The sequence below is a fragment of the Homo sapiens genome, chromosome 3 (assembly GCF_000001405.40).
Source record: "Homo sapiens chromosome 3, GRCh38.p14 Primary Assembly".
Classification (NCBI taxonomy): Eukaryota; Metazoa; Chordata; class Mammalia; order Primates; family Hominidae; genus Homo; species Homo sapiens.
In genome coordinates, this window is record NC_000003.12 from 81,581,080 (window position 1) to 81,608,614 (window position 27,535).

General features: G+C 33.0%; 1 protein-coding gene across 2 annotated transcripts in view; it reads right to left on the reverse strand.

Annotated features, from left to right (window-relative positions):
* Positions 1-27,535, reverse strand: part of GBE1 (1,4-alpha-glucan branching enzyme 1) — a 271,943-nt gene that overhangs the window by 91,377 nt on the left and 153,031 nt on the right. For both annotated transcript variants that reach the window (XR_007095662.1, NM_000158.4), the window contains exons 8-11: positions 12,829-12,944; positions 9,958-10,085; positions 5,013-5,111; positions 86-196 (exon numbers count right to left, since the gene is read on the reverse strand). Coding sequence is in view for 1 of the 2 variants with exons in the window: in NM_000158.4 (NP_000149.4) it covers positions 86-196; positions 5,013-5,111; positions 9,958-10,085; positions 12,829-12,944 (454 nt within the window). In the remaining variant the exon portion in view is untranslated. The remainder of the gene's footprint in view (positions 1-85; positions 197-5,012; positions 5,112-9,957; positions 10,086-12,828; positions 12,945-27,535) is intronic.

Consider the following 27,535-nt stretch of genomic DNA (forward strand, 5'->3'; position numbering starts at 1 on the left):
TTTATATTTAAATATGTTATTAAGGAGAGGGAAGGAGGAAGAGAGAGAGAGAGAAATAAATGAATTTATGCACATATTCATTTACCTGATCATGGCTCTCTGCATAAGCAATGCACTTTTCAAGGTAGCGCCTGTTTGTGAGCGTGTATACTATATCGCCCATGTTCCAGTCTTCATCTTTAAACTCTTTAAGTAGCTAGACACAAGAGAGAAAAATAAGCTTCTGAGTAAAGCATTATTTTTCTTATTTTTAAATCACAATCTGAAGTTATGCATTATATCAGTGCAAACTATTTGATAAGCACATATTAGTCCACCCATATAGCAAAGTTATCACTGTTTAAACTTTTACTGAAATCACAGCTTTTATACAGAATGTCCAAATGACAGTGGTGTAGAGTGTGTTTGTGTGTGTGTGTGTGGTGTTTGCTTTTGTGCAGACAGTTTAATCATTATATTTTAGGATCTTTGCAACTATTTTTCTGTAATAACTGCCACCTCTTGATTAATGCCCACAGTAATGTTATTGCACGGCATGTCTTCCTATAACTTGTACATGGTAGAGATACACTTGTTATATTTATTTGTTTATATGAAAAAAATTAGTAAAAAGAGTGTTTCGCTTCATTTTTACAAAGTGATAAAACAACTGTTTCAAAATTTAAAGTTAATTATCATCAAATAATTACCCTCTTAACAGACCACACATTTTGTGTCTGCATTTCAATTTCTAGTCGGTGTTCAGTCTGGCTCTGTCCCTCTAACACTATACTTTTATGCAACTGAACTTGCTGAGGTTAAGCTTGTGGTGTGAGCTTAAGTTAGTAATTGCTCTCCCTTAAGTAGATACTTGCTATACATATTGACACTGCTGATCCTATCTCCTGCCCCTGAACTTTTCCCTTTATTAATCTACCACTGTGAAACTCTTGCTTTATATTGTTTTGTTTCTTCCCGCCACTCCCGACATACTATAAATTCTCTTCCTCTGTTTGTCCTATAAAGGCTGGTGTTCCTCAGGATTATGTCCTAAATTTACTCTCCCTCTTTAATTCAACACACTGTCATACAATTATGAGAACATAAGCAGTTCTGATCATTGCAGTGCGAATCTTTGGGCACCAGAGGGCAGAACGTGGAAGGCAGAAGAGCAACCATCCATAGATGTTCACAACCTAATCCACGAGCATCTTTCTAAAAAGCAGGCATGAGTGTCAAAATAAGAGAAAGATTTGAAGATGCTATACTGCTGCTTTGAGGATAGAGGAAGGAGCAATGAGCCAAGGAATATAGGCAGCTTTTAGAAGTGAGAAAAGGCAAGGAAATGGCTTCTCCCTTACAGCCTCCAGAAGAAATGCAGCCCTGTTTACACTTTGATTTTAGTCCCAGTAAAACCCATTTCATTTTTGTAACACATAGAACTGTTGTGAATTTGTGCTGTTTAAGCCACTAAGCTTGTGGTAAATTGGATATGGGAATAATAGGAAACTAATGTATAGACCTACACAAATGGGCCAGACTAATTTTTGATAAAAGGGCAACAGAAATTCAATGGAAGGTGGGCGGATGTTTCAACAAATGATGCTTAAAGAATTGGATACCCATGGGTAAAAAGAGAACGATAAAGAACCTTGAGCTAAGTCTTATATATTGCACAGAACTTAACTCAAAATGGATCATGGGCTTAAATATAAAAAATAAAAACTATAAAACATTTAGTAAAAACCATAAGAGAGTCAAAAATTTCTTAAACTTGATACCAAAAGAGAGACCTATACAAGGGAAAAAATGATAAACTAGCTTCATCAAAATTTTTAAAAAATTGCTCTGTGAAAAGCCAATGTGAAGAGGATGAAAGAACAAGCATCAGACTAGGAGAAAAAAATTGTCAACCATGTATCCGGCAAAGAAGTTGAATCTAAAATATATAAAGAACCCTCAAAACTCCACAGTAAATAAACAATGCAATCAAGAAATGGTTAAAAGATATGAACAGATACCTCACCAAAGAGGATATGCAGGAGGCAAATAAGCACATGTTTGGTATCCAGCATCATAAACCATTTGAAAAATAATAAAACCACAATGAGATGTCACTACACACTGATTATAATAGCTAAAATAAAACATAGTGACAACACCAAATGCTGGTGAGGATGTATAGAGGCAGGTCTCTCAAACATCACTAGTCAGAATGTAAAATGTTACAGCTACTTTGGAAAACAGTTTAGCAGTTTCTTAAAAAATTAAACAGGGAATTACTGTATGGTTCAGTAATTGTAGTGTTTGAGCATTTATCTCATAGTTATGAAAACTTATGTTGATAAAAAATGAGTACACACATGTATACAGTAACTTTATTCATAATAGCCATAAGCTGGAAGCAACCTGGATGTTTTTCAATGGGTGAATGGTTAAACTGTGGTATACCCCTGCCTTGGAATCCTATTCAGTGCTGTTGAATGCGCTGTTGATATATGCAACAAGAATGCTGGATATAACAACATTGGAGGTTTTCTTGGATAAATCTCGAGAAAATTTTGCTAACTGAAAATGCCAATCCAGAAAGGTCACAAACTGCATGATTCCATTTATATAATATTTTTGAAATGACGAAATTATAGGAATGGAGATCTCATTCGTGGTTGCCAGCGGTTAAGGCATTATTAGAAGCAAGCAAGATGAAAATAAGTAGGCGTTACTCTAAAGGCAACATGAGGGAATCTTGTGGCAATGAACGTGTTTTGCACCTTGAGTATATCAATGTGAGTATCTTGGTTAAAAGATTGTTCTATACCTTTGCAAGAAGCTACCACTGGGGAAAACTGATGAATGAGCATACCAGATCTCACTGTATTATTTCTTACAGCTGCATGTGAATCTACAATTATCCTAATATCTCAAAAATGTTTAATTAGAAAAACTATATTTATTAAAAATACTAGGTGCTCAATAAATATTTGGTGGAATTAACAGATCAATGAATGAGTTCATTAGACACATACATTACCTTAACATAAACACTTCAAAAATGATCAAATAAAATGAAAGGAAATACAGCAAATTTGGCATAATTTAGATAGTCAAATATTTGTTCAGTAATTGATTAAACTAAGAATGATATTCAAAACTAATGATATTGAAATAATACAACTAGGAAATGATACATAATTTGCTTTTGAACAACAAAAACATGAATAAAATCTAGCATTCTAATTTAACTCATACTGTATGGGTAGACAACATCACAGGCCATATACATTCTGAGTACAGTTGTCATCTGATTTAATAACTCTTGTGTGTTTTATTGACATATAGGGAGAATGGGAGCCACTTATTGAATTGTTTTTAAATGCACCAGTTACAAAAGTAGAGGAAAATCACTATGTCTAAGGGTTTTATTGTAATACTATTTTAACTTTAGTTTTATTAACTAAGGGGGGACCCAGTTTGGTGATACAATAAGAATTTTAAATAATTACATAAAATAGAAGATGATAACTGCTTTCAGAGAATTTACAATCTAAAACAGGATGGTCATATCCTAAATTTAGGATAAAATATTTTTCTATTTGATAACTATGATTATTATAGTTATCATGTATAATAAGTAAGTATGATACATTGCCTAATGCATTACCTTCATCATACAATGTAATAAAATGTTTATTAGGTTAAATTTCAATTTTTTAAGCTGCCATGAATACTCAGAGAGAAAATACCTCACTTTGTGCTATTACTGACTGAAAAATAATTCTAGGTTGACGTACACCTTAAAACATTATTGAATGTGAACAAAGAATGATTAAGGCTTTTAGCAGGAGGTTAAAAAGTAAGATTTGTCACTTGTGAGGGAAAAAAGTCTACATGAAAAAACTAGAAATAGTAAGAGATGGGGCTGATGAGGAACCTTATACCAAGGTGAGAAAATTGAAAACTACAGCATTTTTTTTAAAGTAACAAATACAAGGCTACGTTCCCATGTATTAAAGGAGAATATTCCTTTGTTTTTATGTTTTCTAAGTAAAAATCTTTATAAAATACTTGCTTTTTGACCTGATAATGTTTAAGGAATTATTATAAATGTAGAAGCAGAAGTTATGTTGGTCCAAGTTTAATGTCACAGCTATGCATTGCACAAATTGCCCAGGGGGACAGGAAAGACAGCTAAGAAATGATTATAGTAACCACTTCCTTAAGAGTAGGCGCTACAGTTTTTCTACCCAAAATTAAGCCCTTCTACAACTGTGGTCTCATGGCACCAGTTCATGTCTGAAATAAAGGGCTCATCAGAAAGCTATGATTATTTGTATATATATCTGACTCCTTATATATATTCAGCCCATGAATGTCGACATGGCTGCAAAGAAATGTTCTATATCAAACCTAAGTCTACATAATGACTTTAGTCCTTTAGGCAAACATTAAATGAAAAAAAAACAAAAAACACCAAACTACTTGAACTGTCATTAAAGTTAATAAAATTTTATTGATAAATGATGTGCAAAGTACCATGTACAGTTATTCATTCCTAGTGTCTGACAAATGGTAAGGACTTTTTAATGTTGAATAAAGGAATGGATGAATCCAATCCAAATTTGTTGAGGAAAAACCATACTATTAAGCAAGTACTGGGAATTAAGGAGTAACTTTTACATTAATGCATGATCTGTAGGCATAAATGAATGCTGTAATGAAGTCTAATATGTATTAAATATAGAGCACTGAAGTTTCATATAATTGCATTGATAATGCAAAATTCCATTTATACAGCTAACATGATATTAATCATATTTTCCCTTTGCCTGAATACGTATGAATACTTTAAATCAGAACTTTTAATATTTTGAGAAGCACCTTATTAAAAAGCATAAGAATCGACAGACTAATGAAAGAATTTAATACTTCAATTATAATATCTGTAACTAATGATTACAACTAAGAAATAAATTAAAGATAAATGAAGCAACACAGTATTCACAGAAACAAAAAATATTTACATGGACTCTTACCTGAATCCACTTATCTGGAATTGCCATGGCTAGTCGATAGTCAAAACCACCCCCTCCCTGGGAAATTGGAGAGCACAGAGCTGGCATTCCTGATACATCCTACAACAAAGAACGTCGGTTCATAATGATCAAACTTTTAGTAAATATTCTGACTGTAAAGCCCAGGTCAATAAATGAAAACAATAATAGGGGAATATATTTTTGGGCTGCTTTGGTAACATAAAAGTCGATAAAATTGTGATAGCATATCTCATTTCCCAGAAAGATTTTTGCTTAATGTTTTCACTCCAGGCAAACTTTGATCTCATGAAGCTATTTATTTCTTTTCTTCAGTATCTCCTAGAGAACACAAAATAGCAAAACTGTTATTGCTAAAACATAGTTTCTTATTTTTGAACTACTGTAAAACATTTTTTATTAGTTTTGTTGCTTTCACCAAGCACAACAATACATGTGGCATAAATCTGTTATAGTTGTTCTTTCTGTATGTAGCCCTGATAGGGAGTGTATTTTTGTGAACACTAGCTTTTGATGAAATGGAATGTAGAGTTAGTACATTAACAGTGAAACAGTACAATAGCTTTTACTAGAGTAGGTTACACTTAGAAGGGGTTTTTGAGATTAGGTAGGGATTATCTTCATTTAGCAGATATAGAAACAGAGGTTTATTGAGGTGAAGGGATCTCTCAAGATAGAGAATTTTTTTTTTTTTTTGACACAGAGTTTCACCCTTGTTGCCCAGGCTGGTTTACAGTGGCATGATATCAGCTCACTGCAACCTCTGCCTCCCAGGTTCAAGCAATTCTCCTGCCTCAGCCTCCCGAATAGCTGGGATTACAGATGTCCACCACCATTCTCAGCTAATATTTTTTATATTTTTGATAGAGATGGGGTTTCATCATGTTGGCCAGGCTGTTCTCGAACTCCTGACCGTTCGAGACGGGAGTCCGAACTCCCATCTCGGCCTCCCAAAGTGCTGCGACAACAGGCACAAGCCACCACACCCAGTCGAGAGAGAGGATTCTTAATGGTAGAGCCGGATTCAGATATCAAGCTTTTTGACAGGGGGTCCTTTCTACTCTAGACAATAAGTATCCAATAATTAATCAAATAAATAAAAGTAATTTAAAAATGGGTTTCAAAGATAGGTACAGGGACCCAGATGTAACAAAAGATATTAAGACAACTTTAGGAAAATATGTGCTAAGTATTATCAATTCTAATTCCACAATATCTTTCAAATAAGTTACTTTCCTTTGCTCCATTACCACAACCACAATCTTATTTAATCTTCATTACTGCTTGCCTAGACCATATCCAAATGGCATTCCCCATCTCTACCTTCTCTTTATACTAACTGCTGCCAAATTCATATCTTATGAGACAGTCCGCTCCTATTACTGCCCTTCAATGGATTTCAATAGCCAACAATAGAAAATTCAAATTCCTTAGCTTAAGATTCGATTCAACAATTACACATTAAGCATTTACTATATGATTTACTATCCAATTAGCTACTCCCCTACTCCCTGTTATAGTGTAAGATCCATGAGGGCAAGAGTTTATAGTTGTTGTTCACCGATATACCCTAAGAATCTAGACTAGTTTAATAATACTTGGCACAAGCAGGTTATTCAGTATCTGTTGAGTGAATGAGTGAGGTGCTCTGAGGGATTAAAAGATAAGACATAATATCTGACTTTCAAAGATTAATAAACTAGGACCTAAATACACACAAACATAATTATGAAATGACCATGTGATGTAGTTGTGATCATTAACTAAAGTGCACAGAAAGTGAAATGGAAAGACATCTTTCCACCATTATTTCCTACTATTTCATTTTAATTACTAAGTACTTCGGCCACTTTGAAATATTCCCTCTTGCATGTACTTGTTACGAGCTTTTCTGCATCTGTCAATGCCCAAAGTCTTCCTTAGATTATGACCCTTACTTCCTATAAAAGACTATCACATACCATAGGCTCTCTAAGACTCAGGTCAAATGCTTCTTTTTTTTTTTTTCTTATGGAAGGAAGGTATAAGTAAATATATTATATGGTAGAATACATCCATAAGAAAATAAAATGTTTGCCAGTAATCTTATTTCTGCATAGTTCTTCATGGTTTATAAAGTAGAAAAAAGATCAGTAGAAAAGAAGCCATTTCAATCATTCTATTTATCAAAATATAAGTCATATTTCCACAGACAGGATTGGATAAATATGCATTAAATATCAGGCACCATATTAGGAACTAGAATTACAGACACAATGCCTTCTGAAAAGAGTTTTGAAAGACCAAACTGTCAAGAATGACTGGTGATGGACTGGTATTAAAGATCAAGATGAATTTTCTCAAGAAAATATTAAGGCATGTTCTGTATCCAGTCCCAATGTTGTTTTAGGAAATAGAATCTGCTAAGAAAAACATATGGTAATCATGAAACCCAAACATCCCATAGACATATTTTTTTGGATAAACATAGAATTGAATCCTTTTGAAAAGCTTGAAACCTACATTTGTCCCTCAAGTCTTCTCAAAAAAAAGTATCAAAGAACTGAAGCTCACCAAATCATGGCATGCAATGAGATGCCAGACCGGTCATTCCTCATGATTGCTTCCTTACCCCTCTCTAGTTCTGTTTTCTTACACATTGTTACATTTATTTCTTACTATATAAACCTCTAATTTTAGTTGGTAAGAGAGATGGATTTGAGACTGATCAAAGCCTTCTTCTACGGCAATAATCATTGTCTCCGTGATTGGCTTTCTGTGCAGCAAGCAGCAGGACCTAGACTAAACCCCTGGTGATTTGGTAACAATCATATAGTCTTGACTCCTAAATCTGACTTCTAGAAAGTTGCCTCATTAATGCATATGAGTTGTTTCAGCCCTCCTTTTGAAGGTGGAAAGTTTGTGACTGTTCTTTTAAAATTTTTAAGAAAAAAAAGGTAAATCATAAAGGTCATCAAAATAAACATACTCTAAATATAAAACAATTGATGCCTATTCATATGGCATATGAAAATGATTCTGTGTTTGGGATGAAATTAAAATAGTTCTAATTTTTTACTATCTAAAGAGCACTTATAACCATTCCAGAGGGAAAGATACATCAATCAAAAATGTTTTAATTAATATAGCAAATATAATAATGTAAAATGGTAGATAAACTTGAGCAAAATAAGGTTGCAATTTTTGTAATTGTCATTATAAATAAATTCATATTTCTACTAAAGGAATTTAAATAAAATTACATTGCTTATTCGTTCAAATACATTCCTTTTCTTAAAAAAAAAAAAGTTCATGGGGATCAATTCTACATTTGGAAGAGACTCCCGCTAGACAGAAAAGTGACGTATTGAAATTGAAGTAGTTTTCAATTTAAGTGGAATAAATTGAAGGCACATCTTTTTTTAAAAAAAAAAAAAATCTAAAACCAAGTAATATAAAGTAGGCTAAAGTCTCAAAGTTTCATTGGTAGAAACACTGATAATCAGACCAGAGCTCCCTAGATGATGAAACTATTTTACTTGAAATGAATGGAAAGATCAATGTAACAATTTTAACTTTCATGTATTAAATCATTGCTTCTTTTTCTTCAGTACTCACTTTTGATTTGTGCTGTCATTAATTGTTTGTAGTAATTTGTCATTTGTAATATCTCTGCTTTGGATTGCCATAAATATCATTGACAAAATAATTAATTTTTTGATGTTTGACATATAAAATTCAAATATACATAAGGCAAAAGTTTAAAATACACTCTGATTGATGTTAAAGATATTCAGCACAAAAAATATTAGCACAAGTATTAGTAAGATGTGCTATGATCAAACGTAGGTAGGTCATGACTGTGAAAAAATACTGGGTGTCTAAATTGTATGGTAGGTTGTTTGTTTTTTAATTGTATATAAGAACGAATTTCAGGAATTTAGGGCTACTGCTTTATTCCCAGAAAATACTTAAAAAGTAAAATGCCTGAAGGGAATAAAACTATTCTCCTCTATCCAAGCGGTGAAATCATACCATTTATAAAATTGGAGATTTCTGATTTTGAGAAATGGTGGATATAAAAACAGTCTATACAAAAAATAAATACTACAGGAAGGAGACTATTCCATTTCATGCCAATAAGCTAAACACCAACAATGTAAAAACACACCTTAATTCTAACTATTTTTAACAGTAGTCTTACTATTTTTATATCTCAACCACTATACTTTGTATAGAACAGTTTTAACATGCTAAATTCAATTTTAATAATAATTCCTAGTTAGAGAACTTAGAAAACCAGAGGGATTTTAGCACTAAATCTAAATTAGCATAAGCATTTAACAAACTTCTTAATTTATCACATTTATCACCAAGAGGGGAATTGTCAATTATGCATATATGGAATTATATCATTACAGTGCAGCTTTGGGACAGTTAATCATGAACCTTCAACAATCATGAATAACTAGTGAACATTTGGCAATCTGAGAGCAATAACATAAACAAGAAAGGTAATCACATCAGAACAAGAAAGGCTTCAGAGAAGCTTGCAGGCAGCAATCCATCCTATCTTTAATGATTGAGCCAAAAAAGAAAAAAATAATAATAAATGGACAGACACACATTAATATTCAATTCTTTTCTCTGCTGAAGGTCTCATAGCGAAGGGCCTGTCCACTGATTAGGACATTTAACTCTCCAACCACTGGCATTTTCTTTTTTAACAACAGAATGGTGACAAGTAATTAGTATACATTATCTTCTAATAGGGAAACAGTGAATTCTAAATAATGTGCCACCCATACAAGATAGCTGCACTATACTCAGGGTAGAATTTCATTTACGCAATTATTGACAACATGAGATTGATTAATCAAATACTGTATGCTGACAAAATACTCTCTATTAAAGGGGGTCAGAAGGTAAGACTTCACTATGGCTTTACCTCAGCTATTGTTATAGAATCGGGACACAGCGTGTGAACCAAATGATTTGCCAACATGAGGTAAGTCAAGGCATCTTCATCTACTTGTAGTCCGAAATATTCACTGTAATCACCTGAGAAACCTTGACCTTAGAAAAAGAAAATCAATACGGATATATTATGTTAACAAGCAAGTCTTAACTCTGCACAAATACATTCACCAATTAGTTTGTTTATATGAATTTTGTTATTGTAGCAGTTTAATAACATAAGCATCAGCAAATATACTGACTTAGAAAAGTACTACATGTCAACATTCAGAGTTCAGACAATTCTGCAAATCAATTTTGTTTGACAAATGCACACGCATGAGAAAAACAAAGCACTTTAAAGATTTAATTTAATTTTAGCTAAATTATATGGCAAAAAGTGAAATCATACTAAAGGGAATTCTAAATATCAAATAATTGTCAATACATTTTCTGTCACATTAAGATGTTAATGTTAGTTTGTATTAGATCCCTCTGAGGTAAGGAAAAGAAAATAGGAAAACCATCATAAAACTGAGACATAATATTTATATATTATTTCAAACACACACTTCAATTTATGCAATATGGAGTTCCCTATGATAAAGAGATTATATATTCTCAAACTTCCTCCTACCTCCTCTTCTCTCACATCCTAACTTTGGTTGGTTATAGTATATTTCACTTACTTGGGTTATACCATTTACTTTCTATTCTTTCAGTAATTTACTCTTATTGTTATAATAAAATCAAATTTGTGCTCAATATCAGCCTTTTACCATTTCTCTACATCTAAGTTCTATTGATTTTTTTTTCTCAGTTTGCTGGATTCTATCACTGAGGGATATTTTCAAGTATAATTATGGAAGTCTTATACTTCAAGTTCTTTCATGTTTATATTTCAGCAGCAATATAACTACCAAGTTTCTCATTTTTGATGCTGTCGTTCTTTAATTTTAAAATATTTAATTGACAAATAAAAATTGCATATATTCAAGGTTTCCAAGGTACTGATTTGATATTGGCATACATTGTGTACTGATTACTATACTCAAATTGACACAACTGTCACCACCCATAGTTACCACATGTGTATGTGTGTGTGCGCGCGTGTGTGTGTGTTTAGGATACTTAAAGTTGGCTCTCATCAAATACCAAGTAATATTATTAACTATAGTTACATTAGATTCCGCCTAGCTTATGCACCTTAAAACAAAAGTGCGCCCTTTGACCAACATCTCTCCATTTCCTCCACTCCTCAGCCCCTGGCAACCATCATTCAACTAGCAAATGTTTGAGTCACACTTTGTAAGAATTTGGCAGACATTGCTTCTGTAAATAGAATACTATGAGTCCAACCATTTTTTTTTCATGCATGCAAGTAAATTGCAGGTAAATTCATGACCTCCTGATAAATTTCCCTTTATTACTGAGTTTATAAATCAAATACTGTGTCTTGATATTAACTGCCTTAAATCTCAACTTTTCTGGTATTCTATTTGATCTTCTGCTGTGCGGTTTCAGGGATTTTGTTTGTTGCTTTCTCTGTCATTCCAAGGAAGAAAAAAATGTTAAACAACTCAGAATGTTTTTCTTTAACCATTTCTTGGATTCTGTATCTATAAAAAGCACATCCCATATCCATAAACTTTGGTTCATTTCTCTAATACCACAAATTCTTGGAAGATACTCCTCTCTCGGTGAGGTAGTTTCTGCAGGGGCACGTAGGTGTTTAAATCTAGGAAAAGATTTTTCTTAACTTTTGCCTTTGCATACCGTAAGTCAGCTTCCCCGAAACTGGAAAATGGATATCAATAAAATCTGTTGTGTTTTACAGATTCAACTTCTTTCCCAGGAACATTTCAAGTGGGCAGCATCATGAGTAAGATCAAGCAGTAGCACACTTTGAATGTTTAGCTTCTTTCCTTGGCAGTCACTTTTCAAGATTTACAGTCACGTTTTTCACCCCCTTTGTTTTTTTCTTTTTTTCTGTTTATTGCTAGTGAACATTTGGCCATTAAAAAATAATAATAATTGGCTGGGTGTGGTGGCTCACTCCTGCAATCCCAGCACTTTGGGAGGCCAAGGCGGGCAGATCACCTGAGGTCAGGAGTTTGAGACCAACCTAGCCAACAGGGTGAAACCCCGTCTCTATTAAAAAAATACAAAAATTAGCCAGGTGTGATGATGGGCACCTGTAATCCCAGCTACTCGGGAGGCTGAGGCAGGAGAATTGCTTGAACCCAAGAGATGGAGTTTGCAGTGATCTGAGTTCACACCACTGCGCTCCAGCCTGGGCAACAGAACAAGACTCTGTCTCAAGAACAATAATAATAATAATAATAATAATAATAATTGTTCCCATGTCATCTATTGAGGGATTAGTATTCTGTGATTCTACTTCTTTGTACAACTTTTAAGCTGAGAGTCTGATAAATATTTTTAATTTCAAATTAATTTATAATTTAATTTTAACCAGGTAAATCTGCAATTAAAATACATATTTTATTCAATGTGTAATATGTAAAAACCTATGCATTCACAACTGTTCTCATCTATTATTTTTTATTTTCATTGGAAGTGCTGTAGTGTTCACATCCTGAGAGTGTTACAATAAATGGTTTCCTCAAAAAAATTTTAAGCTACACACGAATTATAGCATATTCAGCAGATATATTTCAAAGGAAATGATTACCTTTTGTTTACTTATAAAATGTACTTATAATCTACCTTTTGCCAAAATGGGATAATAAATTACTACAGAGAAAGCATATGTAATGGAACTAATAAAAACCAAGACACCAGTAATGGCTATTGCAGCTTCTGCAATTAACCCCAAACCTGATTATATCAGGTTACCTACCCACTCCATGGTGATGATAAAGCATGGACGTAACACCATCAAAACGAAATCCATCAAAGCGATATTCTTCCAACCACCATCTTATGTTTGACAGAAGGAATCTTAAAATTTCCCAGCTAAAATATAAGAGAAATATGTATTTAAGCAAAATGTGAAGAGCATTTTCCTTAACTGTTATAAATGTTTGCTATTAACTAAAATTATAGGGCTCTATCTCAAGAATCATAATGTTCAAGAAACATAACATATATAAAAGTCACAAAACTAACAAGAATCTCAGTTGGTTGATGAAACTCATTCTAAAAGGAAAATTATTAATTTTTATAGTCCACAAAGTCACTTAATATCTAAGAAAATTTAGGGAAAACATTTTTTAACATGAATTCCAAAACCAGAGACCCTGCCTTATTCAATGCTGTGTTCTCAGCAACCGGAAAAGTGATTACTACATAGTAGTGCTCGAAAAAAGCAAAGGAATAAAATCTATTACCAGTCCCTGAATTTTTAAAAAGGATTTTCATGTAATATAACCATAATTATGTGATTTTTCTCCTTTCAGAAAATGCATTTTCATTATCAGTAGAAAAAGTACTTTCAATGACTTTTTGTTTAAAATATTTCCTCATGCTACAATTTCAAATAGATATGATTCAGAATAAAAAGTAAAAGATAAAAACAGAAAATCAACCACATGGTAAGCAATATTACATTGACTAGACTGTTGTTTCGTGAAGGTAAAAAAAGAAAACCTAATTACCAAAAACCACATGTGTAATAAAGTACAAAGTTTTATGAGTTTAAGAGTCCTACATCCATAAAAAGAGAGGGAAAACAAAGAAACTGTGTAACTCAATTAAAAACACCACACGAAACAAGTCTGTTTTGGACAGTTGAAATAAAGGCATCATCAATTAGTATTTTCTTTAGTCATATAGTTATGGTTGAGTTCTCTATCTTATTATAACTGTGGTTTTAAGACTTTAATACCTCATTTAGTTTAATGACAAAGCTCCGTAATAGTGTACACAAATCTTTACCCCAGTCGAAATTCATGTATTTTTAAAACCTTCCATATATTAAAGAATAATCTGACATAAATGAAGATTAAGTCATCAAAATTAACTTCAGAATTGTAAATCCAAACTTTGGGGAAAGATGAGTGTTGTTAGTAATTAACTGTTTTAAATAAGTTACTTTGAGTTTCGAAAATTTACTAAGTTAAAAAAAAAAAAAAGAAAAGAAATCCAAGCAATCTAATAGATATAAAAGGGAGACAGGAGGTTCAAGATTTTAAGGTTAAGCAACCTTGAAGGTAGTATTTGCTTATGATTCTATAATTCCATGTTCATACGGTTTAAGGGGGAAATCCTGTTTAACAGAAGAAATGAATAGAAACAAGGAGATATAATAGAACTGTATAAAATCAAAATCACTCTATTTTGCATAGGAATTTTCATTACCATATTGTTTATAGTTTTCTTATAATTAATAAATTTTATTTTTCAGAGTTTTAGATTCACAGAAAAATTGAAAGGAAGATACAGAGAGTTCCCTGTCCCCAAGCATATATCGATATTTTGTAACAAGTTTGCTATATGAGAATTTCAGAAAGAAGACTTGAATAAAATTGCATACAAATAATCCTTTGAAATTAATTTTTTGAAAAGAATATACTCTTCTAAGTAAAGGGAAAGATAAGTGAATTATATTGCAATTCAGTGAAACACAGAAGAGGGAAAGGATGTGAACCTGATCACTGAATAGAAAGAATTGCCCAGTGTCACAGCAGGTTTCACTAAAGTCAAAGGTAATGCAAGTCCTGTTGATTCCTTTTACTACAATATTTAATCTATTCTACTCTTGACCAAAACAGGAAATAAACTGTGTTTAAAATATTAAAATAAAAAGACACATTTGGGAATAACTATGTTAGTAGACAGATTCTTAGCATGTATGAACAACAAAAAAATTCCTGTGATAATCAGAAAAGAAACAATAGTGACAATGGAGCACCTAATTAAAAAGTTCTCATGAGTTAGAAACTGTATTCTATTCTTCAGATCTCTGAAATACTCTTACACATTGTCTGAAAATCATAAAGTCTTTTAAAAACTACTACAAGATTAAAGTGATAAGTCAAATTTCTAGTGCTTTTAATTTCTTTTATATTTTATGAATCATTAATGAAACACAATAGACAAAATTTTATGAGAGTAAACTATGTAGGACAAAATAGTAAAGAATAAAAATTTAGAAATTTTATTTTTTAACCAAATATCAGGAAATGGATCTAGGAAAAAGCCAAATATAAAATTTAAAATTAGTAGCAGCAAGTGCAAAGCAAAAGTTAAAAGTATTAATTCTCTGGCTAAGTCAATTTTCTTTTTTTTTTATTATACTTTAAGTTTTAGGGTACATGTGCACAACGTGCAAGTTAGTTACATATGTATACATGCACCATGTTGGTGTGCTGCACCCAGTAACTCATCATTTAACATTAGGTATATCTCCAAATGCTATCTCTCCCCGCTAAGTCGATTTTCTAAAACTAGATTATTTGTATCAGTTATGCAAAAAATAACTAGTCTTATAAGGGTAACATTTTATAAATAACTAGCCTTTGTTGCATAAGAAAAAATGAATTGTCAGTTTCTAAGGATAGTAGTCTTAGTTATGCTATGTTAAATTTTCTGCACAAAAGCACAACCTTTTTGGATATAATTATAAAATACTTAGGACACATTACTGGAGAAAAAACTTCTTCCCTAATCATTTTGTGTCACAGATACCCAGACCTCAAAATCAAGTGGAAGATTCTCAAATATACATTAAAGATCCAAGTATGTAAGGACATCCAGCAGAGGTACCCTGTTCTGCACCCTACCCTCCAGCAGTCACATGGAGAATGAAAACAATAATCTCATACAGGAATGAACTAGATCACTGAATCTAAGATTTGTCTTTGAAATAGAGCAAGCTTAAAGAATACGTCACCAGTGAAAATACTGATTTCTGAAAGATGTTCAATATTATTTCTACTCTCATAATTTCCAAATTCAAAGCTCATAAATTCCATTTTTCCTTTTTTGGGGTGTTGAGAGAAAGAGGAGTTATGAATTATTCCAGATTGTGACTGAATTAGAAATATTGTTCAATGTTCTCTCTAGTAGTAAATGAACTGAATCACCTCAACTGAATGGTTTGCCTTGAGTCAGAGTATAACAATGTCTGGTAAAAAGTACAATAAAAAAGGCAATTTACTTTTTCTACCTCAAAATGGCATCAAACAGCCCATAACACAGTTGATATATCCAGTTGATTAGAATCTCATAAAAATATACAGCAGAATTTAAGACACAGTTTTATTTTGGTGCGTTCCAACAGACAAGCCAGGACTTAGATTACTCCATTGGCTTACAGCTTTTATAGCCTGTCTTTACAAACCACTTACTGTCCAGAAGCCTAATTTCTGAACAATTGGAGGAGCTAGATGCTAACTTTTAGATGGTGATGTCAAATATATATATATATCTCAAAAATATATATATATCTCAAATATATATATATATCTCAAAATATATATATATATATATATATATCTCATTGGTCACAATGAATGTGTTTAAGAAGTAGCCCATTTTAGCTCTTAGCTTTATATCTTAAAGTAATTAACACATATATTAGAAACTAGCACTGTGCTATTCACACTGTGCATAGTCAATTGATTAGCACACTCCCAATTTATTTTTTGGAGCAAAACAAAATCTGTAATATCCAGAAAAAAAATAATGAAATGCAGTTGACTTTCTTTTGAATCATAAACCACTAAAAAAATGTTTAAGTCAAAGGTGCCTAATATAGAAACTGAATACATCGATGGATAATACATACATTTAAGGATTTCTGGCAATCAAAACAATCATGATTCTAATTGGCTTAGATGTCTGAAATATTCAACCTGTAATCAAGTAATGAGGATTTATTAAGGAAATTTTGTCACACACAGATAATTCCAATATTAAGGTTTTTAGGAAATATCCCTAAAATCAAAAACTGTTGATTGTCTTACATTCTGCCAATAATCTTTATAATGAAACATAGACAAATTTTCTCAGTGAGCAACTATAATCAAATATAATGACATTTATTTAATGACATTACATTTTGTAATCCAAGCTTATTTGCCTAATGTTCTATTTATTTGTGGTCCAAAAATACCTCTGAGATTTTCAAAATTTGCAACTTAGTTCACTGGATGTTACTAAACCTACTAATATTGTATATTAATAAATAAGAGACATTACTAAGCAATGGCTAAATATCAAAAAAATATAAAGGAAAAAATGATGTTCCTCTTAGATATTCCATAGGCTTTTAGGCTGAATGGGTATTAAACAGTACATCATAAAACCACGAATCAAAAACCTCATGTTTTGATCTATGTATTTCAATCGAGGCAGTAGATTGTGAGGAAAAATGAGAAAGGTATAGAATGCCAAAAAAGTCTTAAATTATAATAAAAATGACATTTTTACAAAGGTATTCTAAAATGTCAATGTTTAATATAATAACAGGTAACATCAAACTACCTGGTTTATTTTTTAAAATTAAAAGAATTAATCAATTTTAATTAAATTAACCAACAATTAAAAATATTATGTTTTGCTCATAATTTGTATAAGTTACATTACAAACTCAGCCAATTGGAATTAAGAGAAAACTTGAAATGATTGAAAAGTAGTAATTCATATCTAGTAGTAGATAACAGTATCATCAATAATAAAGTGTATCTGGATTTTAGACACGAGAATTATATAGAGGCTATTGTATATATTAATTTCAAATACTGTTAAATAATGAGTAGCACAAAACTAGTGAGATAAATTGTTCATTCAACTACTAAAAATTTGTAATAATAGAAATTTCAGAATGTAGGTAATTATAAATTATGGTTTTGAAGTTTTCTTTTCAATATCACATAATTTTCTGGATTTTATTCTGTGCAACTTTATTTTATGTAAATTAATATATTGTTTAATCAGATTATATCCACTGAGCTCCAGTTATCTATATCCATTAACAAAATAAAGCATTTTCTTCCCATAAGGCCTAAATTGTACTTAGCATATTAAATACTTTATTAAAATTAACTCTATTTGTATTATATGTAATTCCAATCAGGTATTCTCTAGGAAATAAGTAGAAAAGGATGATATGGTGCTTTTAAGGCTAAATGATTCCAATTAGACTTTTACTAAAAAATAAAATACTTGAGAAATTTCCAAGTCATGTTCTTCTCTAATTTAACCTGCATTCTTAAAAATTGGTTATCTGCCACGTAAGATTCACAAAAGGCAAACCTGAAGTGTCTGTGACTGTGAGTGTATGTACATAAAGTGTGTGTGTGTGCTTGTGTGCGTGTGTGTGTGTGTAGGAATTGACAGTGGACAGCAGTGAGAACAAAAGTGAAGGCTATTAGTCGGATAGGATGGAAAAAGACAAGTGTAAAAGAAAAAATAACCCACTCTAATAGAGCACACCTATGTAAACTTAGATGGGAGAGCCTACTACTACACACCTAGGCTATATGGTATACAGCATATTGCTCCTAGGCTACAAACCTGTATAGCATGTTACTGTACTGAATACTGGAGGCAATTGTAATGCAAGGGTAAGTATTTGTATATCTAAACAGAAAAGGTACAGTAAAACACAGTATTATCATCTTATGAGATCACCATCTTATATGTGGTAGCTTGTTAAAATGTCATGTGGTACATGACTGTACATATATACAGACATAGGTATATACACACACACCCATGTTTTTCAAACAAGTTTAAAAAATTCTACCTTATCTATAAAATAAAGCTAATGACTAGTTCAAATCAAGTGGCAGTGACTTGAACATAGGTAATATACATCATGACAAATGTCATATTAATACCATAATTGGTAATCAGCTTTAAAGAGCTTATTTTAAAGGTAAAAGTTTGGAAACATTAACAATTCATATACTCCTTTTTCATTTTTCCCTTCTGATTTATTTCTAATAGATTAACTATCATATTTAGATAAGCGATTGGCTGGGTGCAGTGGCTCATGCCTGTAATCCCAGCACTTTGGGAGGCCAAGGCGGGTGGATCACGAGGTCAAGAGATCAAGATCATCCTGGCCAACATTGTGAAACCCCATATACAAAATTTATCTGGGCATGGTGGTGCATGCCTGTAGTCTCAGCTACTTGGGAGGCTGAGGCAGGAGAATTGCTTGAACCTGGGAGGTGGAGGTTGCAGTGAGCCGCGATTGTGCCAATGCACTCCAGCCTGGTGACAGAGTGAGACTCCGTCTCAAAAACAAATAAATAAATAAATAAATAAATGACTAAATAAGCTATTATAATAATTTTATGATTGAAAAAATACACCCCTCGATTTGATAATTTCCCATTATCTCACTTAAATTTATAATTATGTGTATGTATTTATTTACTTATATTTAGCCAGTTTTATTTTAAATGATGACTTGAGGCAACTTACAGAGATACATACATCTAAACAGTATCAGCCTCCCAAAGTGCTGGGATTATAGGCCTGAGCCATGGTGCTTGGCTCTAATCAGCATAAAAAATAAATTAGAATAAAGATCTTATACAAACATAAAGTATCTGGGAACTGATTTTTATTCCAGTCTGAAACAATTATTTTACAGACTACTGACTTTAAATATACTACAACAGGATTTTCCTTCACTATCACCTCAGAACAATATTTTAGGACAATATTCAAGGAAAACACTACTATAATGTATATAAAGATGCAGATATTTAGGATAATACTACAGAAGTTATTTTAAAGATGCAACAATGTACTTGGAGACCAAAAAATGGATAAGCATTTTAGAGAGGAGATGAACTGGGAAAAACTAGCTGTACAGCAATTGAGGTAGGGAAAGGTGAAAATATAGAGGCACCTAGTTCTTCAAAAAATGAATGGTGTGTGTGCACATGCATGCGTGTGTGTGTGTTCTAGGAGTGGGAAATCAAGGAAAATATATAGGGTCTGCTATTGATTATATTTAAATTTCGAACATCACTCATCAATGGTATTTGAATTTGCACTAGCTTTGCTAAATAATATATATGTTTCTAATTATATTTGGATACATTCCCACAAGCAAAAGGAGCTAGCTTTCAATGGGCTGACTGGAGTGGAGCAGAATAGAAAGGGGAAATGTGATATTATATAGAAAAGAAAAAGGAATTCAAAGTCATCAAGTGTCTACTAGCTTCCAGACTCCACCTGTTACACAGCCTCATTTAATAAGGCTGTGAAATGATATTTTATGGTTTGGGAAACTGAGGCTTAGAAAAGTTAAAAAACCATGTCCTGGATCACTCAGGTAATAGGTACAGGTGCAGCTCAACCTTCTGAATCTAAAAACCTCACCTCTTAACTGCAATTTTATACTCCACATTCAGCATGACTACATTAAAAATTATTTCTTGTTTTTGGCAATTGTCCTGGTACAACATCTTTTAAAACCCTGTAATTCCCACATATCTATAATTTTAATATGTGGTCATACTAGCTGTATTAATCTTCTCTAAGTTTCAGTTTTCCACAACGTAAAATGGAAGATAATTTCTGCACCCTCCTGAATGGGGATTAAATGGAATGGGTATAACGTGATGGCAGTGCTTGGTATACTGCCAATCCATGAGAGTTCCTATTAAATAATAAACAAATTTTGAATATTTGTTTAAATATTACATATAAATTACATTTATGGCTGTAATATATCAATGTGTTCTATTAGTTGTGATTTTCTCATACTGAAATAAATCATAAAGATAAGCATGTTTAAGCTAACATCAAAGCTAAATAATCCCTTTTTTAAATTCAGCATTTATTTTTCCTAGAGTTTTATTTTATTTACCTATTTGTACATTCAATATGCATTTCTTAACTACCTGCTTTGTACCAGGCACAATGCCAGGTGCTAGGGACACAGCTATGAACAGCAAATACAAAGTATCACTTTGTGTGGAGTTTAGGGTCTAACAGGAGAAACAGACATTTTACAACTACTAACACAAACACATTTAATTACAATAGTGATTAATAACACAAAGAATAAATATGGGAGTATGAGACTGTATTGAGAGAGAAACAGTTAATCTATTCTGAGGAAGTGAAGCTAAGCTTCTCAGAAAGTGAGAGTGAAAGTTGAAACCCACAGGATAAATTGGACAATATAACACTCATTCAAAGTTATTGGAAATCATCTTACATTAGTTCCGAAAAGCCCTCAATCCACTTTTGACAGGCACAGCAGGAATATATTTTTATTACATACTATCAGTTCACTAGTGTAGTCGTTAACATAGGACTTCCTTTAAAGATAGATTCAACATGGTCAACAAAATCAGATTTTGTGGAAAGGTATCTATTAAATTAACCATTTGTCTTAGTTTAAGCTCCTATATCAAATTGCCATAGACAGAGTAGGTTATAAACAACAAAAATTTATTCCTCATAGTTCTGGAGGATGGAAGTCCAAAATCAGGGTGCCAGCATGGTCAGATTCTGATGAGGGTCCTCTTACGAGTTGCAAAGTGCCCACTTCTCACTGTATCTTCACATGGTAGAAAGAGTGTGAGGGAGCTCTCTGGGGTCCCTTTTCTAAGAGCGCTAATCCCATTCAGAGCGTGGAGCCCTCCCAAAGGCCCCACTTCCTAATATGATCACCTTAGAGATCAGAATTCCAACATACAAGTTTCAGAGGGACAGAAACATTCAGAAATAAAAGGAAGAGAGGATGAAGAAATAAGAAGAGGACATTTTTCTTTATGTGTTAATTTTGTGTGACTGACTCCCTACATAATGCTTAACTATTCTTTCTTGTTTTAATCACATTTCTCCAGAATTTTTCTATTCAAAGAAAATACTTTTGAGACAGTCTTTCCAGCAGCACACATATCTAGAAACTTCTCACTCGATACTCCTTCTGCACCAAATCTCATCTTTTCTTGGCTGACTCATGCCCCAATTCTTGTCGTCTTCAGCCCAGACTCTGCTTACTCTCTGCCTGGAGAATGCATTCCTTTCCTCCTTACTCCCTATGGCTCCTCTATTCCTAAACTAGCTATCCATATGGTCTCTTATTCTCTTTCCTTCCATTTTCCTCTTCTAACCTCTTCTCCTCTCTCCCTTTCCTCTTTGTTAGCCTCTCTTCCTTCTTAAATCTTGATTGCAGAAGCAAATGTAAAAGCCTGTCAAGCAATCCTAGGAATTGCTTATAATTCATTAAATATACATATTTATATACGATTTTGCAAAAATAAAGATATCAGGTACTCTGACTTGATGAATTTCATGAGAAAGTTATGTCATACTTCACTTAATGAAAATTAAGCATTTGTAATATATAATGAAATAACACTGAATTAGAAGTCAAGAAAATTATGTTCTAGCCAATTTTGAAAAATCAGTATATAAACAGATAATCTCTCTGAAAATCAGTGTGATAATTTTTGAAAAGAGGGTACCAGATTATTTGATCTCCATCTTATATATTTTTATAAATTTAAATTTATTTTATTTTATTTTGAGACAGTCTCTCTCTGTCACCCAGGCTGGAGTGCAGTGGCGCAATCTTGCCTGCAACCTCTGCCTCCCAGGTTCAAGCAATTCTCTTGCCTCAGCCTCCCAAGTAGCTGGGATTACAGGCACCCACCACCACGCCCAGCTAATTTTTTGTATTTTTAGTAGAGATGGGGTTTCACCATGTTGGCCAGGCTGGTATTGAACTTCTGACCTCAAGTGATCCACCCACCTCGGCCTCCCAAAGTGCTGGGATTACAGGCATGAGCCACCATGCCCAGCCTATAAATTTAAATTTAAACTGAAAAATTAATTCAAGGCTAACATTTCTGAGTTTTAGCATACAGACTAATTTGAATGATTTTACTATATTCTACTAGAATACAGACACAAAAGTTTATGACATTAAATGTGCCTTAGAAAATGATAGAGTAATGGCCTGAAAAAAATGACATCCACACTCAAAAATATTATAAAACCAAATTCAACCAGCACCGAATCCCACAATCTCAATTGATAGCCCAGCTCAAGGTTCACAAAATCTTCTTATTTTTTATATGAATGCCATGTGAGAGACAATAAGAGACAAACTGGTTCATGCAAGTAAGTCCTGTTTTCCCAACATAATCATAAATTATTGTCTAAACGTTAAGAACCGTATCTTGTGCCTTTTCTTTATATTAGTTTCAAACAAACTGACCTGAACTAAATTAATAATGTACATAGAAAGCTAAGACATTCACATAAAATATTAACTTTTCTTTTCTTTCTTTCTTTTTTTTTTTTTTTTTTTGAGAAAGGGTCTCACTTTCTTGCCCAGGCTGATATGCAGTGGCACCATCTCATCTCACTACATCCTGGACCTCCTGGGCTCAAGTTATCCTCTCACCTCAGCCCCCAAGTAGCTGGGATGACAGGAGTGCACCACGACGCCAGGCTAATTTTTGTATTTTGTGTAGAGGCAGGGTTTTGTCATGTTTCCTAGCCTGGTCTTGAACTCCTGGACTGAAGCAATCTGCCCACCTCGGTCTCCCAAATTGCTGGGATTAATTTATCTTTTAAATACAACATTAACTCTGAAGCAGTAAAAATAAACAAATTGAAAAGTAATATATAAAGTTAAATAATGTTTTCATAGTCGTTGGAAATGGAACTGGAAATTAAGAACAACAAAACTCTTTACTTCACTAAAATAAAGGCACATAAGCAATGATTATGATACTTTTTGGAAACCTACAAAAGTGGTATTTTCATGAGGAAAACTTAAGTAAGAAATTATTTAACTGAAATGTTCAAATAATAGATTTTCCTCTTCTTTTCTTCCTTTCCCCCCACAGCTTACAATTTCTCTTTAGAGACCTTTCATAACATGTTTAACACCATAAGAAGTAAAATCATTAAATTCTTCACTGATCATCTTTCCGTATTGTTTATTAGAAGTTTTAACACACATGGGCATTCATGCAAACATATGCCTCAATTTTTTTTAAATCAAAAAAAAATATGGCCAGCCTCTAGTGAGAGTAAGCTCATATTGGTGAATGTATGGCCTACATTGGAATAAAAATGCTTATGATTAAATATTGAAAATTTCCCCAAATGTAATATAAATCTCTGGTGATGACAACAAAAGGAAGAAACCAAAAAAACATCAATATCCTTAAGGAATCATCAGCTTCTTTTTGTTTGCTCCAGTTATAAATTTTGCATTTGCACATTGCTGCCTAGACTTTCAAAGGGTTCTGCAATGATTAATTTAACAATCTACCCATATTGCTCTAATATAACCAAAAACTTTTACATATATATAATTTATAATATCCGAATTAAGGATAAACTAGTGGCCAAAATAGAAGTTCCAACATCCAGGCATGTTATTAATGCAGAAATGGCCAAGTGTCACCAAAATATGGCTACTTAAACAAATACTTCTCAAGCTTGGGTGCTTTACCTCTAAAGATACATGGAAACGCACATAACAGTGCATATTTATGACAGTCAATTTGACCTGATTGTTTGACAGTAAAAAATGAATGTGTAAAAATTCTAATACTTACAAATATATATTGAATGCTTACTAAATAAATGGCAGGCCTTGTACTGAGTGCTTTGCATGAATTATTTCATGTAATTCCCTCAATAACCCTCAAAGGTGCACATAATAATAGAGATTGGCACACTTTTTTGTACAGAGCTAGAAAAAAACATTTTAGATTTCGTGGCCATGTAAGGTCTCAGCGTTGCATGGCTCAACTCAGTTGTGGTAGGGAGAAAGAGGACATAGGCGATGTGTAAAGGAATGGGCATGGCTATATTTCAATAAAACATTATTTACAAAAACAGGCAGCACTCACACTTGGCCCACAAGCAATATCCTTTGCAGACCCCTGCAATTAAAATTCTCATTTTACCACTGTTAGTATGTAACATTCATATGCCCACACAGCTGGCCAATGAATTCAGGTCTCTTATTGCAGGATCAAAGCTGTTAACTACTACATATATCTGCTTCTTGCCAGCAATTTACACAGATATTCTATGGTAAAATAAAAACAAATATATTCTGGAGTAAAAGGCAAACTGATGTGTTTATAAAAAACAAAACAAAATACTAGAAGAAACCTTGCGTTTACAATGCTAGTGATGCACACTCTAGGAAATAAAAGTCTATGCTCCCCAAAACATCAAGATATCTGATGAAATTTAGAGAATTCAGTCTATGCTTTAAAAATGAGCCTTCTTTCAACTGTTATATACTTTTTAAAGTTCCATGGAATCTTTTAGGGTTTTTCTTCATATATAATGACACGGAGGAATTGCTAAAACCATGCACCAGGTGCTATACATTGTCATCAAAGTCCATGCCCATTTGCAAATGTACAGTGTATGGCCAGACTGAGAATAATGATTTATGTTCAGGTCAAAATCCTGCCCAGGCAGGAAGACCCTGCGCTATTTAACACAGTCTGATTTCACTTGGAATAAAATCCAGTCCACAGTCCTGGTTACAGGTCCAGTATAATCTGATCCAGTCTAATATTTCAACTACTGCCCACTAAGCACCAGCTATAGTGCCCTTTTTTCTGTTCTTGAAGCACAGACAAGCTCATTTCAGACATAGGTATTTCTTACCAGCTATACTCTCTGCCTAGAATTCTCTTCCCTTGAGTCAGACCCTAGCCAAATGTCAATTAGATTTCACGCAAATATGATCTCTTAGAGGACTTCTCTGGACACCCAGTTACTCTGCCAACCATATCACTTTTGGTTATGTTTTGCTTAGCATTTATGTGACACTATGATCATTTCGTGGTTTATTATTATTTACTTTAAGTTATGTGCTATTATGTAGCATTTTTAAATTGATTATCAATCTTCCTCAATATAATAAATCTATGCTGTAGATGTACAGATGTCACGTTTATTTAGTTGTTGCTGTATTCCCAGAGCCTAGCAGCTGGCCTGGTGCTTAGAAACCATACGGTAAATATTTGTAAACTGAAGAAATGAATGACACATATTGTTCTGCAGGCTACACCATATTGCCATTTATGGTTTTATTCACTTCATTTTGGTCAATCATGCACAGAAAAGAAAAAGTTGTTTAGACCTCACAAAATGATTTAAAATTCACAGTGCCTTGTTATTTTATTCAAAAAAGTTTCTTTTTAGAACTGATAGTCATTGCTGTCTAAAAATGGGGGAAAAACTATTGTTTACCTCTTCATAAAGTTTATTTAAAAAATAAATATGGCAGGCCAGGAGTGGTGGCTCACACCTGTAATCCCAGCACTTTGGGAGGCCAAGGTGGGTGGATCATGAGGTCAGGAGATCAGGACCATCCTGGCCCACATGGTGAAACCCCATCTCTACTAAAACTACAAAAATTAGCTGGGCTTGGTGGCGCACACCTGTAATCCCAGCTACTTGGGAGGCTGAGGCAGGAGAATCACTTGAACTCGGGAGTCAGAGGTTACAGTGAGCCAAGATTGAGCCACTGCACTCCAGCCTGGCGACAGAGCAAGATTCCATCTCAAAAACAAATAAAAACAAAAACAAAAAATAAATAAATAAATATGGCAATTAATTCTGCTAACTATTCGTCTTGTCATATTATTTTAATTATTTGAAATTTGTGTATTTTATCTTTAATTTCTTTTGCATAATATTACCTTATTTATGTAATTTTGTCAAAATGTTTCCCAGTTTAAAAATCGTTTTATTTGACCTTAGTCAAGTCTAAAATGTCATCCATTATGCAATTGGTAACAATTTAATTCTTTTTTCTTAACTCTTTTCTAATTGAATTTCCCAACACTTAAGTTTTATTTTAATTCAACTTTTATGTTAGAATTTTTATCATTTATTACTTTTTTGTATTTGTTATTATTTTCTAAATTTTATCGTAGGACAGCATAAAAAGTATAGATAAATGAAGATCACAGATAAGAAGAGCCAGATTTACACAAGAAATGTTATGCTCCTGTTCATCTAAGATTAACTGTGTATTAACCCCACAAGTCCTTAGGACTAAATCCACTTTTACCAAAATTCATGTTGTTGAAAGTCACTAAACTGGATACTCACTGAAACTGATGTTCTCTTTGTCAGCATGTCACTATTCATATAACTATCAAGGGTTTTCTGGGTCAGTGTTCAACTTTCCTATGCTAAACCACTGATTTCCAATAAGAAGGAATTTGTAACCTCAACCCTACCACCTCCTCCCCTGTCATCTCTGCTTATGAGCTATGCCATATGTCAGTACTTTGCACAAGGAAAGAAAGGGGAGGCACCATCTAGTTAAATCCACGGTGCTTCTTCCATTGAAAACCCTTCTTGAGAAGTATTTTATTTAAGAAATATAAATTCTGAATGTTATTACTTGATTAAATCAGGCATTTAGGAAAGCCGCTTATTTGTGCAACACTATCTTTCTCCTTTTCAGAAAAGCCCTCCTAAATTACATTTTCAAAACCTCTTTCAACCTTCACTAAAGGTCACGGAATACGTTTGTGATATTTGCTATTTCACTGACATGTAGAACTGTCATTGTGAACACTTCCCACAACATTATTCAATGACCCCCAAACAATACATAC